At 56.7% G+C, this 16,694-nt stretch overlaps 1 protein-coding gene across 7 annotated transcripts, besides 8 other annotated features; it reads right to left on the bottom strand.

Moving 5' to 3' along the window:
- On the bottom strand, nt 899-12,809 carry SYTL1 (synaptotagmin like 1). 7 transcript variants are annotated; one of them, XM_005246022.4, is made up of 15 exons: nt 12,464-12,809; nt 9,306-9,534; nt 7,262-7,410; nt 6,951-7,023; nt 6,819-6,864; nt 5,679-5,751; nt 5,333-5,433; nt 5,066-5,179; nt 4,699-4,859; nt 4,346-4,442; nt 3,879-4,037; nt 3,495-3,573; nt 3,276-3,375; nt 1,343-1,548; nt 899-1,118 (listed from the first exon to the last, which is right to left on the bottom strand). In XM_005246022.4, the coding sequence occupies exons 1-15, from the start codon at nt 12,519-12,521 to the stop codon at nt 979-981; spliced, it is 1,785 nt and encodes a 594-aa protein (XP_005246079.1). In that variant the 5' UTR covers nt 12,522-12,809; the 3' UTR covers nt 899-978. The 7 variants fall into 7 exon arrangements, with proteins under 7 accessions (XP_005246079.1, XP_006711053.1, NP_001180237.1 ...); XM_006710990.2 differs by having other exon boundaries at nt 5,679-5,715; NM_001193308.2 differs by having other exon boundaries at nt 12,681-12,809.
- Nucleotides 4,846-4,905: a silencer, noted in NCBI's record as "silent region_509". NCBI's record gives its function as "represses an Ori minimal core promoter by ATAC-STARR-seq in GM12878 lymphoblastoid cells {active_cell/tissue: GM12878}" and the evidence as "EXISTENCE:reporter gene assay evidence [ECO:0000049][PMID:35858748]".
- Nucleotides 5,006-5,315: a silencer, noted in NCBI's record as "silent region_508". NCBI's record gives its function as "represses an Ori minimal core promoter by ATAC-STARR-seq in GM12878 lymphoblastoid cells {active_cell/tissue: GM12878}" and the evidence as "EXISTENCE:reporter gene assay evidence [ECO:0000049][PMID:35858748]".
- Nucleotides 6,695-7,233: an enhancer, noted in NCBI's record as "H3K4me1 hESC enhancer chr1:27674089-27674627 (GRCh37/hg19 assembly coordinates)". NCBI's record gives its function as "activates a minimal SCP1, AML or CMV promoter by ChIP-STARR-seq in naive H9 embryonic stem cells {active_cell/tissue: H9 hESC(naive)}" and the evidence as "EXISTENCE:reporter gene assay evidence [ECO:0000049][PMID:30033119]".
- Nucleotides 7,234-7,774: an enhancer, noted in NCBI's record as "H3K4me1 hESC enhancer chr1:27673548-27674088 (GRCh37/hg19 assembly coordinates)". NCBI's record gives its function as "activates a minimal SCP1, AML or CMV promoter by ChIP-STARR-seq in naive H9 embryonic stem cells {active_cell/tissue: H9 hESC(naive)}" and the evidence as "EXISTENCE:reporter gene assay evidence [ECO:0000049][PMID:30033119]".
- Nucleotides 11,469-11,558: an enhancer, noted in NCBI's record as "active region_545". NCBI's record gives its function as "activates an Ori minimal core promoter by ATAC-STARR-seq in GM12878 lymphoblastoid cells {active_cell/tissue: GM12878}" and the evidence as "EXISTENCE:reporter gene assay evidence [ECO:0000049][PMID:35858748]".
- Nucleotides 11,557-12,174: an enhancer, noted in NCBI's record as "H3K27ac-H3K4me1 hESC enhancer chr1:27669148-27669765 (GRCh37/hg19 assembly coordinates)". NCBI's record gives its function as "activates a minimal SCP1, AML or CMV promoter by ChIP-STARR-seq in primed H9 embryonic stem cells {active_cell/tissue: H9 hESC(primed)}" and the evidence as "EXISTENCE:reporter gene assay evidence [ECO:0000049][PMID:30033119]".
- Nucleotides 12,349-12,398: an enhancer, noted in NCBI's record as "active region_544". NCBI's record gives its function as "activates an Ori minimal core promoter by ATAC-STARR-seq in GM12878 lymphoblastoid cells {active_cell/tissue: GM12878}" and the evidence as "EXISTENCE:reporter gene assay evidence [ECO:0000049][PMID:35858748]".
- Nucleotides 12,929-13,188: an enhancer, noted in NCBI's record as "active region_543". NCBI's record gives its function as "activates an Ori minimal core promoter by ATAC-STARR-seq in GM12878 lymphoblastoid cells {active_cell/tissue: GM12878}" and the evidence as "EXISTENCE:reporter gene assay evidence [ECO:0000049][PMID:35858748]".

The following is a 16,694-nucleotide window of genomic DNA, read 5'->3' as shown; positions in this document are numbered from 1 at the left end:
GAGCGAGACTTTGTCTCAAAAAAAATAAATAAATAAATGAAAAAAAAATGTTTTTAGGCCGGGTGCGGTGGCTCATGCCTGTAATCCCCGCACTTTGGGAGGCCGAGGTGGGTGGATCATGAGGTCAGGAGTTCGAGAAGAGCCTGACCAACATGGTGAAACCTCGTCTCTACTAAAAATGCAAAAATTAGCTAGGCGTGGTGGTGCGTGCCTATAATCCCAGCTACTCAGGTGGCTGAGGCAGGAGAATCGCTTGAACCCAGGAGGCAGAGGTTGCAGTGAGCCGAGATCGCGCCATTGCACTCCAGAGCGAGACTCCGTCTCAAAAAAAAAAAAAAAAAAACACCTTTTTTAGAGACAAGGTCTTACTCTGTCATCCAGGCTGGAGTGCAGTGGCATAGTCATATTCACTGCAGCCTCAAGCTTCTGGATTCAAGCGATCCTTCCTCCTCAGCCTCCTGAGTAGCTGGGACCACAGCTGTGCACCACCACACCCACCTAATTTTTAAACTTTTTTTTTTGTAGAAATAGCATCTCGCTTTGTGGCATAGCTCACTGCAGCCTTGAACTCCTGGGCACAAGCAATCTGCCTGCCTCAGCCTCCTGAGTAGCTGGGACTACAGGCATGTGACACCACCACCTGCAGCTAATTTTTAAAATTTTGTCGAGATGGGGTCTCATTATGTTGCTCAGACTGGTCTTGAACTCTTGGGCTAAAGCAATCCTTCTGCCTCAGCCTCCCAAAGCATTGGGATTACAGGCGTGAACCACTGTGCCTGGTTTCTCTGAAGTCTTTGTGGCAGAGTCTGAAGTTCCTTAATCTGGCCCCTCTTACTTCCCTGGCTCTTTCCTACAATCACCTTTCTTCCTCCCTGCCCCAGCAGACACCAGCCTTTTATTGCTCTTAGAATAGACTTTATTGACTTTAGCCAAGGGCAGGCCCTGAGATGGGGGTCCAGAGAGAGAGGCTTGGTGGGGCTACGTCCTGGGGGCCAGGTTGGTTCTGAGGGGTAGAAGGCCATCCACCCATTCGCACGGCTGCTCCAGGAGGGCTTGCCACAGCTGCTTCTCCTCAGGTGTGGAATCCATCCAGGGCACCTGCAGCCCATAGCTGCTGCCTGGATGTGGGTGGGCAGGGGTTGAGGGCATGATCACACTGGACACCTTGGGGCCCCCAAACACCTGCCTGGTCCCAGATTATGCACTGTCCCCCGTTACCACCCTCAGTTCTCAGTAGATATCAAAGCTCAGGAAAGGACAGAGAGGTATCCAGGGCCACACACTGAGCCCCCATCTCCCAGGGCCTGTCCCAGGGCCTGTCTCAGGGTGCTGTCCCACTTACCGGTGCCCAGGCTGAGGCGTGTGCCCCCCAGCTGGCGGTTGGCCAGGGCCCCATGGTCCCAGAGGGAGAGCTCGGCACAAGCCTGGCGCAGGTCAGCAGGCCCAAAGCCATCGTACACCATGGTGTGATTGAACACAGGGCTGAGGCTGCGTCGCACAACCCTTGTACGCTGGCGGCTGGCCTGGCTGTCATCAGGCAGCACGAAGCTGTGCGGGAGGTGGCCTGGCATCAGGTGACCCCCCTCACACTCCCTAGAGTCATCCAGTCACCACGTCCCACTCATTCTCTCTCACATATGTCCATGTCCCCTGGCTCCTGCCTGCCTGGCCTTAGACCCTCACTGCCCTGGGACCTTTGCACCAGCCTCCTCTCAGGTCTCCTGGCTTTAAAAGTTACAGCTCCTGGCCGGGCGAGGTTGCTCACGCCTGTAATCCCAGCACTTTGGGAGGCCGAGGTGGGTGGATCACCTGAGGTCAGAAGTTCGAGACCAGCCTGGCCAACATGGTGAAACCCCATCTCTACTAAAAATACAAAAATTAGCTGGGCATGGTGGCATGCACCTGTAATCCCAGCTACTTGGGAGGCTGAGGCAGGAGAATCGTTGGAGCCCAGGAGACTGCGGCTGCAGTGAGCTGAAATCACACCACTGCACTCCAGCCTAGGCAACAGAGTGAGACTGCATCTTAAAAAAAATAATAATAGCCGGGCGCGGTGGCTCATGCCTGTAATCCCAGCACTTTGGGAGGCCGAGGCGGGCGGATCACGAGGTCAGGAGATTGAGACCATCCTGGTTAACATGGTGAAACCCCGTCTCTACTAAAAATACAAAAAAATTAGCTGGGCGTGGTAGCGGGCGCCTGTAGTCCCAGCTACTCAGGAGGCTGAGGCAGGAGAATGGTGTGAACCCAGGAGGCGGAGCTTGCAGTGCACCAAGATGGTGCCACTGCACTCCAGCCTGGGCAACAGAGCGAGACTCCGTCTCAAAAATAATAATAATAATAATAATGTTACAACTCCTATTCACAGGGCTGCAGAGCAATGTCTCTGAAATGCAGTTCTGCTATTCTCGCTGGCTCAGTGACTTTTATTATCTCCCTGTTGCTCCACCACCACCCCTCCTCAAGCAGTTTCCAAGGTTTTTTTTTATTTTTTGAGATCGAGTCTCGCTCTGTTTTGCCCAGGTTGGAGTGCAGTGGCGTGATCTTGGTTCACTGCAACCTTCTGGGTTCGAGTGATTCTCCCGCCTCAGTCTCTCAAGTAGCTGGGATTACAGGCACCCACCACCACGCCCGGATAATTTCTTGTACTTTTGATAGAGATGGGGTTTCACCATGTTGGTCAGGCTGGTCTCAAACTCCTGACCTCAGGTGATCCACCCGCCTCAGCCTCTTAAAGTGCTGGGATTACAGGCATAAGCCACCGTGCCTGGCCTGTTTCCAAGGTTTTCAAAGCCTGGGAACCCCCTCTGCAAAATACAGTGTTGCTCAGAAGTACAGTACCTCTGTACTGCAGCCTCTGGCTGCATCAGAGTGGACACCCAGAAGTGACCCGCCCACCTCCATTTCACTCTCTAACAGTGGGGGCAGCACCTGGAGGCACCCCTAGAAGTCCCCTAGAAGCTTACACTGAACTATAAGTTCCCAGCCAAGCCCCACAGCCTGGCCTCCCAGGTTCTCTATGGAAGGACCCTTGCAGCCCTCAGCCTCAGCTTTTCAACAAGTCCTATAGGCGCCAGTCACGCTGAAATGCAGCTCCTCAAAGGTGTCCTCAACTTCCCTGACTCCAGGCCTTTGCTCAAACCGTCCCCTTCACCCCTGCTCAGTGGTGAAAGCCCAGGCTGCGTGATCAAAGGTTGATTAGTAAGGGTTTGTGGAGGTTGGGCACTCCACTGCAGGCAAAAGAATGGGAAGCCCGGAGGGCCAGCACTCCTCACCATTGTACGTAAGTGTCCAGGGATCCTGCCCGCAGCGGCAGGAGGTCCCGAGCCTCCTTCACCCAGAAGTGCAGCTCCCCGCTCGGGGGCAGTCCTGCGCCTGCGGAGAGGCTCGGCTCAGGCCCGCACACGGATGGAGTCCACCGCCCCCAAACCCGGGGACTGGAGTCTCCCGCTTTTCAGGGCGTGTCCAGCTTGGCCTCTCCGGCTGTCACTCACCCTCGGAGCCGGCGGGGACGTACTTGAGGGACAGGGCGAGTAACCCGCGGCTCGGAAGGTCGTCGGGAGAGGGTGGGACCTGCGAGAGGCGGGCTTATCGTGGAGCAGGGGCTAATGGAAAGGGGCCTCAGGAGGGTGGGGTCTGCAGACCCGGATGGGGTGCGGCTAGAAGAGACGGCGGGGCCTGCAGGGGCAGAACCTAGGGGTCCTAGCGCCCTCGGGGAAGGGGCCGTGGCCGGCCGGGCTTCGCCTGGGGCCATGAGGTTAAGAGGTTGAGGGGAGGTTCTGTCGAAGGCGGGGTGTGAGGGGGCTGCGGGAGAGCCTGGTGGGGTAAATGCAGGAGACCCGGGCCGCAGGTCTCCCCACGCGGCCTGGCTGCCTCACCCGGGGCTGCAGGGGGAGCCAGGTGGGCTCAGAGCCCCAGTCCCACGTGTCCAGGGGCACTTCAACTTCGCCCAGAAAGATGTTGCGACCCAGGCTTTCGCGGTGCCACACAGACAGGCTCAGCACGCGGCCCTGAAGCTCGGCCTGCGGGACGGAGTACTGAGGACAGGAGGTGAGCTTTAGTGGAGCACTGCTGGTGGCCCGCGTAGATGCTGCGCGAGTTGGCTGAGGCAGGTCCTACCGCGTTCCTACCATGATGGAATTCTGGGGAGCCCCTAAGGGCATTAATGGGGACCTGCACTATCACCACGCCCACCACGAGGCTGACAACACTGGATAACGAGTTAATGGGCCCCCTCCGCCGATCCTCCGGGCAATGACGTTACTGGCTGCCCTTGCCACCTAGCCCCGCAGGAAGGGGGCGTCCAGTTCATTAACGGGGAACCGCATCGTGGTCACAGCCTCACCCGGAGAGTCTCGTTGAAAACCGGATTCAGATTCCGTTTCTTCACCGCCGTCTTGCGCTTGCTCTGCTTATCCGGGAGGAGGTAGCTTTTGACGTAGCTGGGGAGGTGAGAACCCGAGGTGAGGAGGGGCCCTCCCAGAGCCTTCTCCCCTGCCTGTGGGCTCCCCCAGCCACCATCCCGAACACGTGCCAGGCCTCGTGCTAAGCGCTTTACAGGGATTGTCTCGCTTAATCGCACGCCTCCCAATAACGCTGTTGTTCCCATTTTGAAGATGAGGACGAGGAGGCCGAGACCCTGTGAATGGTGGGCTGGGCTGTGACAGCCGCGCCCCGCTTGGCCGGCGGGGCACTCACGGGTCCGAGCGGCGGCGCCGGGCGGCGGCCAGGCCCTGGCACTGGATCACGTGCACGCGCAGCTCGGCGGCGCCCGGCTCGTAGTGCAGCGCGAAGTGCACGGAGCCGCGGACCTGCACCGCCTCCGCGTCGCCTGACAGGCTCATCTGGCTGCCGCTCAGCTGCGGACGGGAGTGGGTGGGAGTCAGGGCCGCTCGCAGGGCTCACGTCGGGGCCGCGGGCAGCGCGGAGGCTTCAGACCCGGGTCATAGGTGGCAGGCTGGGGGGCTGCAGCGGTGGGTCCCGCGGCGAGGGAGGGGCAGGCAGGGGCTACGCATCGGAACGGGTCCACCCCCCGGCCGCCCGGGTCCCCTCCCTCCCGCCTCACCGTGGAGGAGTTAAGGCTGGACACCGAGGAGCTGCTGCTGAGCATGCGGTCGAGAGAGGGGTCGGGCCCCGGGGCCTCCTCCCCATTCTCCAGGATCTGGGACGCGGCCTTGGTCTGCAGAGGGGGCAAGTGACGGGGCGCCCCTTCTTTCCCCACCCCTGCCCCGAGCGCCCTGGGTCGCGGGCGGCTCGCAGCCCTGGGCAGGAGCGCTCCCCGCCCGGAGTCCGCTCCGGATGTTGAGAGCAGCCACGGGCCACTCCCGCCTACCTGGGCTTGCTGGGGCCGCGGCTCCTGCTCTCCCCCCGACGCGGGCTCCAGCTCCGGGTCAGCCTCCTCGGCACAGACCTGTTGGTCTCCTTGGCCAGGATCTGGGGTGGGGCACGAGATGCTAAGCGAGCCCTCTCCTGCCCTCCCCTAAGCAAATTTGTAGGAACTGGTTTACAACCCCAGCGAGCTGCAGATTCAGGCCCCGGTGCTGCCCTGGGATCGTCCCCACCTCCGACGCGGGGTGGGAGTGGGGGTGACGAGGGTGAACACAGGTGGTTGGGGCCCCTTAGAGCTGCCTCTGACCCGCGAAACCTCTCCGTGCTCCCCAACAGGCGCTCCCACTCACCTTCCTGGGCCTGGGACGCCTCCTCAGGATCTGAAGCCTTTAGGGGGACAGAAGGCGATGGGAAATCAGGTCCCTGAAGGAAGAAAGGGGTAGAGGTCACAGTACGGGGGCTGGTGAGGAAGAGGTCAAAGGTCATATTGGGGTCAGAGGTCATAGGGCTCCAGCCAGCTACCCCAGTTTCAGGTTTAGGGCAGCCCTCCGGGCAGGGCTGGCAGCCAGCTGCAGGAGCGGTGAGACCAGTGCTTCACAGCCCACCCCGCAGGGCTTGTGCCGCCTGACTCCCTACTCCCATTGGTGGGGTCATTCGTACCTGAGTCCTCCACCTCTGCCAGGCCAGGCCAGTCCCATTCCTTTCTCACTCCTTTTTTTATTTTTATTTTTTATATTGACCCATTGGTAGACAACCTTTTTTCTTTTTTTAAATTTATTCTTATTATTTTTAATTGAGACAGAGTTTCACTCTTGTTGCCCAGGCTAGAGTGCAATGGTGTGATCTTGGCTCACTGCAACCTCCGCCTCCTGGGTTCAAGCGATTCTCCTGCCTCAGCCTCCCAGTAGCTGAGATTCCAGGTTATGCACCATCATGCCCAGCTAATTTTGTATTTTTAGTAGAGATGGGGTTTCTCCATGTTAGTCAGGCTGGTCTTGAGCTCCTGACCTCAGGTGATCTCGGCTTCCCAAAGTGCTGGGATTATAGGCGTGAGCTGCCACGACCGGCCTTTTTTTTTTATTTATTTTTTATAGACATGGGGGGCATTTTGCTATGTTGCCCAGGCTGGTCTTGAACTCCTCGGCTCAAGCGATCCTCCCACATCAGCCTCCCAAAATGCTGGGATTACAGGCATGAGCCACCGTGCCTGGCCCCACTTCACCCCTTAATAGCCAGATTCAGAAGTTCCCTTAGAGGCTGGGTCCATATACCACTCACTGTTCACCACCGTTCACCACTGTTTACCACCATTCACCACCGTTCCCCACCGTTCACCACTGTTCCACCCAGGAGGTGATGAGGTGCAGACACAGGAAGGAACATTTCCAGGGTCTCCCCATTCCCAGGCTGGGGCTCTTTCCCCCCTGCCCCCTGCACATTCCACCTCCCCTCCAGGGACACTGTACTCACATGTTGGCTCATTCACTTACCTCAGTCTCCCTGAGCCTCTCCTGAGGGGCCTCATCAATGGTGAGCCTAGGAGTAGGGAGAGGACGCTCTCAGAGGGAGGGACCCTGGTGACTGGTGGGCACCATCTCCCCCTTCCTGAGACTCCTCCTCACCTGGGCTCTGGCCCCTCTTCCTTCTCTTTCACAGCAGCCTCAGCCTCCCTGTCGTGGCCTGGAGCCTGGTCTCCTGGGCGCAGGTGAGAAGTTCTGTGAGCCCCCATGCTCAGGAAGCCTGGCTGTGACTCGGGAGAGGCCCTGGGAGATACCCACCCACCCCATGCCCACGGAGGGGCATTGCCCACTGAAAGACACACAGTACTGGGGGCAGCCAGGACTGGAGCCCTAGTGGTCCTCTCTCCCTGTCCACATACAGCCAGCGCCCTGGACGGCACATGGCTTGCCCTGCCCCGAGGATCTCCTCTCACCCCTGGTGCTCTTCTTCCTGCGCATAGACGCTCGGACAAGGTCAGAGCCGAAGTGGGCATTGTGGTGCCGCTGGGAGCGTGCTTCCTGGAACCAGTCCCCTGTCAGGATCTTCAGCTGCCCAGGGTCTGCCACTGAGGCCCGGAGCTTGCTGGAGGAAGGGGGAGGGTGTGGCTGTCATGACTCACCCAAGCAACATTCCCGCCACCTACATTGTTAACAGGCTTGGGACCAGGGGCCAGGGACCCAACAGCAAATCAGACTTGATCTGTGCTGTGGAGGAGCTCGGGCTGCTGGGGAGACCAAGTCCAGAAGAGACAAGTACACTGTAGTGAGGTGGATGATGTGATAGAAGTAAGAAGAGCCAGCTCTGCCTGTGAGAATCCAGGAGGGCTTCCCAGAGGAGGTGACATTTGAATTGCCTTTATTTATTTATTTACTTAATTATTTTGAGATGGAGTCTCCCTCTATGCCCAGGCTGGAGTGCTGTGGCGCAATCTCAGCTCACTGCAACCTTCACCTTCCAGGCTCAAGTGATCCTCCCACCTCAGCCTCCTGAGTAGCTGGGACTACAGGCGTGTGCCACCATGCCCAGCTAATTTTTTATATATTTTTTTGTAGAGACGGGGCTTTTCCATGTTGCCCAGGCTGGTCTCTAACTCCTGGACTCAAGCAATCCACCTGCCTCAGCCTCCCACAATGTTGTAAGTCACTGTGCCCAGCCTTGAATTTCTTCTTAAAAGACAAATTGGAACTCTCCAGGTAGAGAAGGATAATAATTATTATACTTTTAATTTTATTATTTTTTTTTGAGACAGGGTCTTGCTCTGTTGCCCGGGCTGGAGTGCAGTGGCATGATCATGGCTCATTGCAGCCTGACCTCCTGGGTTCAAGCAATCCTCTCACCTCAGCTGCCTAAATAGCTGGGACTACAGGCGCACACCACCACGCCAGGCTAATTTTTTATATTTTGTAGGAATGGGGTCTCACTGTGTTGTCCAGGCTGGTCTTGAATTCCTGGGCTCAAGCAATCCTCCCGTCTCAGCCTCTCAAAGTGCTAGGATTACAGGCGTTGCCACTATCTCTGGCCAATTCCTCTTAAATCAGTGAAGTAGGACTCCTTAGCCCCATTTTACAGACGACGAGCATGGTGCTCAAGGAGGTCAGGTGAGTTGCCAAGGCTACGTAGCTAGGAAGTGTCTGTCCCCAAACATTGCTTGTAACGCCCATGCTCTTCTACAACTGTGCTCTTCCAGGAAGAAGTACCAGCATAGGCATAGAAGTGAAGAGTGGGTTCAGGGACTGGGGAGCACCTGAGTGGCTGGAGGGGTCACTTTGTGTCTGTGTGTCGGGTCGGAGTTATGGTGAAAGAGGAGATGGTGGGGGCTGGCAAGGACCGACCAGGGAGGCCCAGTGGACCATGCCTAGGAGCTTGCCCTTGATACTGGGGAGCCAGGGGAAGTTTTCAGCGGGGATATTAAGGACGGATCTGGCCAGGCACGGTGGCTCGCGTCTGTAATCCCAGCACTTTGGGAGGCTGAGGCGGGTGGATCATCTGAGATCAGAGGTTCAAGACCAGCTTGGCCAACATGGCGAAAACCCATCTCTACTAAAAATACAAAAATTAGCTGGGCATGGTGGCATGTGCCTATAATCCCAGCTATTTGGGAGGCTGTGGCAGGAGAATCGCTTGAACCCGGAGGGGTGGAGGTTGCAGTGAGCCAAGATTGTGCCACTTCACTCCAGCCTGGGCGAAAAAATGAAACTCTGTCTCAAGAAAAAAAAAAAAAAGCAGACAGATCTGGGGAGCACCAGCTGCAGGAGGTGGGCCCAAGAGGCAAGCCTGGAGGCAGGGAGGCTGGCGAGAAAGCTGGTGCAGTCACCCCTGGAGAAGTGATGAGCTGTGAGCTGGCCAAGGCCAGAGGAGACTGAAGGGCAAAACCAAGAACCACGCAGACATCTGACAGGCAGTGGTGTCGGTAGGGAGCAGGATGGGGGCCACTCAAGCCTCTTGGTGCTCCCCGGCCAGGGTCTGCCCTGCCTTACCTGACCCGCCCCTCCTCCAGCTGGCGCAGGCGGGCATCTCGTTGGAGGACGCCAGCAATGGCCTCCTGCTCCTCCTCTGTCAGGAAGCTGAGGTCCAACAGTCCTTCAGTCTCAGGCTTTGGCCCATGCGCCATGGGGAGGGAGGGCAGAGCCCAAAGCCCCTCTTGCGATGGGTGGCCCCTCTGGGGCATCAGCTGGGGCTGTGCCCCAGCTGGGCACACGGAGCTTCCTGGGGGCAGACCGAGGGTCAGGTCAAGCCCTGCACAAATGCTTGGCACATCCTAGAACCAACAGCCCTTTTCTCCCCAAACACTTGGCCGGGTATGGGTAGGGTGCCACCCCAGGATGGCTGAGCTCAAGGTGGGGTGAGAGACACTCATGCACACATGCATACACTAGCCCTTGAACACACTTGGAGACACAGTGGAAGAAGCAAGAGACACACATGCACACACCCTGAGGTAGGGCCACACAGGACTGCAGCGATGGAACACACAGACACATGTGCACACGCGGGTCCATGTAGGCATAGATATGGTCGCACATGCACACAGACACCTGCATAAAGACAGGCGCATGCACAGCTGTTCCCCCAGAAAGGGCCCTCTGCAGACACAGACCCGGACCCATGCCCACGAGAGACATGCACACACATTCTTTTTTTTTTTTTTTTTTTTTTTTTTGAGGAGTCTTGCTTTGTTGCCCAGGCTGGAGTACAGTGGCACGATCTCATCTCACTGCAACCACTGCCTGACGGGTTCAAACCTCCTGCCTCAGCCTCCTGAGTAGCTGGGATTATAGGCACGCACCATCACGCCCAGCTAATTTTTGTATTTTTAGTAGAGACGGGGTTTGACCATGTTGGCCAGGCTGGCCTCGAACTCCTGACCTCATGATCTGCCAGCCTCAGCCTCCCAAAGTGCTGGGAGTACAGGCGTGAGCCACCACGCCCGGCCCTACACATGTTCTTAAATCTGCACACAGTGGCCAGGCGCGGTGGCTCACGCCTGTAATCCCAACACTTTGGGAGGCCAAGGTGGGCCGATCACCTGAGGTCAGGAGTTCAAGACCAGCCTGGCCAACATGGTGAAACCCCCTTCTCTACTAAAAATACAAAAATTATGGCCAGATACAGTGGCTCACCCCTGTAATCCCAGCACTTTGGGATGCCAAGGCGGGCAGATCACCTGAGGTCAGGAGTTTGAGACCAGCCTGACCAACACGGAGAAACCCCGTCTCTACTAAAAATACAAAATTAGCCGGGCATGGTGGTGCATGCCTTTAATCCCAGCTACTCGGGAGGCTGAGGTGGGAGAATTGCTTGAAACTGGGAGGCAGAGGTTATGGTAAACCGAGATCACACCATTGCACTCCAGCCTGGGCAAAAAGAGTGAAACTCCTCCAAAAAAAATGAAAAGAACAGAACAATTAGCTGGGCATGGTGGTACATGCCTGTAATTCCAGCTACTTGGGAAGCGAGGCAGGAGAATCACTTGAACCCAAGAGAAGGAGGTTGCAGTGAGCTGAGATGGCGCCACTGCACTCCAGCCTGGGCAAGAGTGAGACTCCGTCTCAAAACAAAAACTAACAAAAAAACCTGCACACAGCATATGCACACCAATGGGGATAGGCCCACCCGGATGGGTTCACCTAGACAAGAACAAGTCTGGGGACAAATATGTCCCTCGATAAAGATGTACATAAAAATCATACAGACTTTGGCACACATACATTGCCCGGCTAACTGGGTTGTGAGCTCCTTGGAGGCAGGGAGAGGGAGTCACCCTCAAAGCCATTACTTTGCACACAACAGATGGTTGGTAAAAGTTTGATTAATTAAATGCAGAAATATGCCTGCACACACATGGGAATGCACACATACAACCACCCACCTAGACAGACAGATACACACACACACACACGTACACACACACACATCTGCTCACTCCCCCGCACCAGGAACCTCACAGCCTGGGTCCCCTCCTGCCACCACCTCCACCCTGCCCTGGCCCACTTGGCCTTCCTGTCTGAGGCAACCTCCTCCTCAGCCCACACCCCCAACTTCCTCTCCTGAGGTAACTGCCGCACCCACTCCCACGGAGGCCTCCAACCCAGGGATGCCCCCGCCGCCAGCCCTGCCCTGTTGCCTGGAGCCACAGGGCCCCTCTGTTCTGGCCACACAGTTCTCCCCAGACCAGGCTGGGGTCCCGGCGGTGGAGGCCTAGGCTAGCGCAGCAGCCCATGCTCAGGTACCACAGTGACTCCGGAAAGAAAGCATTTGCCCAGCGCTGAGGGGCATGTAGACGTGGCAAGGGGCCCATGACTTGGTCAGGGCTGTGTCCTGAGCCCACTGGGCGGCCTCTCCTCTCTTCCCCGCCCCTTCCATTGCCACGGCTCCAGGTGGGGCTGAGACCGGCGGAGGCAGCTTGGCGGGCAGGTCCTGGCTTGTGTCCGCCGCCTGCTATGCTCTGTCCCCTCCCAGCTGAGTCAGTGGCCGAGCCCCAGCGATCCCTCTTGACACCCTCAGGAGCAGAAGGCCTCAGCACGGCTGCACGGTGTGCATTCACTCTGTGGATACCTGTGTGCTCCACAACAGCAGTTTCCCTGGACTTCTGTGGCCAACGTGTGAGCCCACGTTCGGCCTCCCCTGTGGATTGGGGTGTGAGCCCACGTTCGGCCTCCCCTGTGGATTGGGGTGTGAGCCCACGTCCCTCTCTGTGCCCTGTTGTGTGGCTGTGTGGGTCCGAGTCTGGTGGGCATGTCTGCGTTGCGTGAGTCTGTGAGCTGTGTAGTTGCTGTGTGTCTTTGTGTCCTGTTGCAGTGTGATGCTGCATGGTGACTATATTGTCTGTGTGGTGTGTTCAGTGACTTTCTAGGTGACAGCGCCGTGTGGGGTGTGTACAGTATGCATTGTGCATTTCCTCCTGTGCTGTATGTGTGACTGGGCTGTGTGCTGTGGGGTGTCCCCTGGTGCCTTGGGGGCCACCAGGTGTGTGTGTCTGAGTGTGGATGGAGGCCGGGGGGACGTTCGGCAGAACTGAGCCTATTTCTGTCCTTCAGGCCTGCCTGAGCTGGGCCATGGGCATCAGCCCAGCGTCCTCAGCAGTGCCCCCTCCCTGAAGTCCCCTCTCCTACCAACCAGAGGCAGAATCTCCTACCAGAGTTAGGTAGGAGTTTGGTCTTCTCTGCTGTTTTGACACGGTGGGACAGACCCATTGGTCAAGAGGAGGGTCTGTCCATCTGTCCAGCTGTTCCAGTTCCAGACATGTGCCCACCTCCCCCAACCCCAAGGTGCTGGAGGGTGCTCAGGATACCAGGTGGCAGTGCCTGCGTCTCTGGACCCTGGCAGGGGACCCTGGCACCGACACGTGTTACCTGTAGGGGTCCAGTATGGGAGGACACCTTCGCAGGTGGCTCCAGCTCCCCTGGCAGCCGAGTTTCAGGGACCGGGAGAAGAGCCGTGAGGGAAGAAGGCTGACTCAACAGGCAGCCCAGCCAGCAGCTGCCCCACACGGAGGAGGAGGAAACACCTCGGCAGGGCCTGATGCAAAACCGGGCCTGGACTCCCAGCGCCCGGGGGTGCGCCCCCGCAGCCGACTGGAGAGGCCCAGCTTGGCCCCAGCTCCACTGAGCAGGCCCTCTAGAACGGGTAGCAGCCCCACCTTGCCCACAACGGGGCTGATAGGAACTCGCTTTGAAAGCAAGTTAGAAACCTTTCTTTTCCAGCCCCAAGGGGAATGGCAGGATGGCAGACTTTGCAGTTAGACCACCCTGTGCAGAGTCCCTGCTCTGCCAGTGGGTGTGTGATGTGACCTTAAGCAGGTCTCTTCCATTTCTTCTGATGCAAACTGTGGGTAGCAGAGTGCAAGGAGCCTATACTAAGGGAAGTGAAAGTGCCCGGTGCGAGCTGGCATAGTCGGGGTGAGGTGTCCCCACTCCAGCATAGCCTAATGCCCACGGCCATCTCAGCAGCTGCTGCCCTCTATATCCACATGCACTTCTGGGACATGCTGGCAGAGCAGCCCTCTCTGTCCCCTCTGCTGTCCTGAGCCCCATCTGTTTGAGGAGGCCTGAACTCTTCTAGTGCCAAGGTGAGGGTCCCACACCCTCTGTCTATGTGGAGCCCCCCTGAACTCACCCCATTCTACACCTAGATTCTGCCCACCCTGAGATTAGAAGGTTTGGGCCCTAGATTACATTGGCTTCAGGACCATGAACCTCCTGGGTTGTCTTGGGCACAAGAGGCCACACCAAAGCTTTCTGACTCCCCCCAAGTCCACTTCACTTCCCATGGCCTGCCCTGGCCCAACCCCCTCCCCTGAACCTAGGGCCATGGATTAAAGATTAGTGGGCTCCTCATAGACCCCTGGGAGAGGCAGGACAAGGGGTGGATTCTAAACAAAACCAGTCTGGGCACAGTGACTCATGCCTGTAATCCCAGTACTTTAAGAGGTCGAGGTGGGCGGATCACTCTAGGACAGGAGTTTGAGACCAGTCTGGCTAATATAGTGAAACCCCGTCTCTACTCAAAATACAAAAATTAACCGGGCATGGTGGCAGGTGCTTGCAGTCCCAGTTACTCGGGAGGCCGAGGCAGGAGAATCGCTTGAACCCAGGAGGCGGAGGTTGCAGTGAGCCGAGATCGCACCACTGCACTCCAGCCTGGGCAACACAGCGAGACTCCGTCTCAGAAAAGCAAACAAGGCTGGGCGTGGTAGCTTACACCTGTAATCCCAGCACTTTGGGAGGCCGAGACGGGTGGATCACGAGGTCAGGAGATCAAGACCATCCTGGCTAACACGGTGAAAACCCATCTCTACTAAAAATACAAAAAAAATTAGCTGGGCGTGGTGGCGGCTGCCTGTAGTCCCAGCTATTTCCCGAGTAGCTGAGGCAGGAGAATGGCATGAACCTGGGAGGTGGAGCTTGCAGTGAGCCGAGATCGCACCACTGCACTCCAGCCTGGGCGACAGAGCGAGACTCCGTCACAAAAAAAAAAAGAAAAGAAAAGAAAAGAAAACTAAACACCCACTCTTCCTTCCTGTAATCAGAACCGACTCCCACCACCACTGAGAGACAGAGGACCCTCCTCCACCTCAGAACCACAGTGGAGGCTTCCCTACTTATTTTTTGCAAATTAATCTTATTTTTCTCATCTGTTAAATGGGGGTAATCTCTCCTTAGAGGGTTTTCACTAAAATTCAGTGAGATCCTTGCAGACTTTTTTTTTTCTTTTTTTTAGATGGAGTCTTGCTCTGTCGCCCAGGCTGGCTTGGCTCACTGCAGCCTCCGCCTCCTGGGTTCAAGTGATTCTCATGCCTCAGCCTCCCGAGTAGCTGGCACTACAGGCGCCCGCCACCACGCCTGGCTAATTTTTGTATTTTGAGTAGAGATGGGGTTTCACCATGTTGGACAGGCTGGGCTCGAACTCCTGGTCTCATGTGATCTGCCTGCCTCAGCCTCCCAAAGTGCTAGGACTACAGGCGTGAGCCACCTTGCCCAGACCCCAGTACTCTTGATTAATGCATTTATGCACCCACACATGCAATACCCATGGAGCAGCTGCTGTGGGACCATTACTGTGATGCTGCCTCCTTCATTAAGGCCCTCAAAATGGAAGGAGAGTGGCCAAGAACATCCACACCCCTTCCTGCCATCCTGGTCCTGGCGCCCCCAAGGATGTTTCTCTGCCCTCCTCTCACCTCCTTAGCAGCTCTTCCTCCTGGAAGGCATGAAACTTCATTATCTGGTCTTCGGGTTTCTAAATTTCCCTTCCTTTCTCTGCTCTCCTGTCCTTCCTATAGCTGTGACTCCCTGACGCTGATACTTCCAGCCATCTCTCCTGCTGTGTCTCAACCTGCATTCCTCTGGCCTCTTCCCCACTTGAAACCTATTTCCAAGTTTCCACCTCTGTAACCAGCCCCCATCATCCTGGCCCCTGGCCTCCTGCTGCTTCCTGCCACCTCCAGATGCTGTCCACACTTCACTCCAGGTGCCCTCCCATCTGTGTGTCTCTGCTGTCCTCCCCCTGCCCAGGTCTCAGTCCCCGCTCAGCCTCTTCTGGAAGCCTCCTCTTCTCCTGCCTCCTTGCGGCCACACAAGGCCACTCTGGCCCTATGTTGCACAACTTTCAAACGTACTTTTCTTTGTCATCCTCTGGTTTGGAAGGTGCCAGCAGACAGCCAGGCCATCCCTCGGGCCCATTCATACATTTCTAAACCAGTCCAGTCCCCTTTAGACACGTCCTGAGATGGAAGTCTCACCACTTCCCAGGACAGCCTGGCCCTCAGCCTGACCCTCAGGATTGCTGCCCTTACTCTGGCTTTCTCCCCTTCGTCACCTATACCCGTAGAGCCTTAGCTGTGGGCTATTTCCTGTCCTTCAACACCCCTGGGCCTTCTGTGCTCCCTGTGGGAATACTTTTCCCCAGCTCCAGGACTAGCTCAGCCTCCTCCAGAGTTCAGTGCCCCTGCGCTGCAGCCAGTCTCTAGGCAACATCCCTCTGTTAAGAGGGACATTAAGAGGCAGGGTCCTAGAGGCCAGCAGATCTGGGTTAAAATCTGGCTCTGCCGCATGGTTCCCTGTGGCCTGGGATCAATGACAATCCCTGTAAGCCTCACTCTCTTCCTTTATGAAGTGGGGACAATAGCCATCTCACAGGCCTGCTGCTGTCAGGAGAGCTTGTTTTTCACCTCCGCGGCCATTCTCCTTTCGCATCACAGCACCTCTCATTTCCACTCCTGTGCTCCAGTGAGGCCATCGCACAGGGTGGCTCTGAGTGGGGGCTCTGGAGCCCAGCTGCTGGGTTTGAACCATAGTTCCACTCTTCCTACCTCTGTGACCCGGAGCAAATCACTACTTCTCTGCTTACTTCTTCATCTGTAAAATGGGATGATGGCACTTACCTTGTTGCAGGGCTGTTGTGAGGCTAAGATGGTATTTTATTACAAGGCCTAGCACAGAGTAAGCACTCGCTAACTGTTGGTGACTTTTTTTTTTTTTTTTTAAGAGACGGGGCCTTAGGCCGGGCATGGTGACTCACACCTGCAATCCCAGCACTTTGGGAGGCCGAGGCAGGCGGATCATGAGGTCAGGAGTTTGAGACCAGCCTGGCCAACATGACGAAACCTTGTCTCTACTGAAAATACAAAAATTAGCCGGGCATGGTGGCAGGCGCCTGTAATCCCAGCTACTCGGGAGGCTGAGGCAGGAGAATCGCTTGAATCCGGGAGGCGGAGGTTGCAGTGAGCTGAGATCATGCCATTGCATTCCAGCCTGGGTGACAAGAGCAAGACTCCATCTCAAAAAAAAAAAAAAAAACAAAACAAAAAAAAAGAGAGAGAGAGAGGGAGAGACGGGGTCTTGCTCTGTCACCCTTGACCTCCTGAG

This window comes from Homo sapiens, chromosome 1 (genome assembly GCF_000001405.40).
Source record: "Homo sapiens chromosome 1, GRCh38.p14 Primary Assembly".
In the NCBI taxonomy this organism is placed as follows: Eukaryota; Metazoa; Chordata; class Mammalia; order Primates; family Hominidae; genus Homo; species Homo sapiens.
Note: the sequence above shows the minus strand (reverse complement) of the source record. Positions and strands in the feature narration are given on the sequence as shown.

Excerpts from the sequence above, each read along its gene's own strand:
- SYTL1 (XM_005246022.4), bottom strand. The coding sequence starts at position 12,521 with ATGGGTCTGTCCCACCGTGTCAAAACAGCAGAGAAGACCAAACTCCTA. Across the intron at positions 4,860-5,065 it reads CCAGCCTTAACTCCTCCACG|CTGAGCGGCAGCCAGATGAG; the intron begins GTGAGGCGGGAG and ends TCCCGTCCGCAG. Across the intron at positions 1,549-3,275 it reads CTGGACACTTACGTACAATG|CTTCGTGCTGCCTGATGACA; the intron begins GTGAGGAGTGCT and ends CCTCCCGCACAG.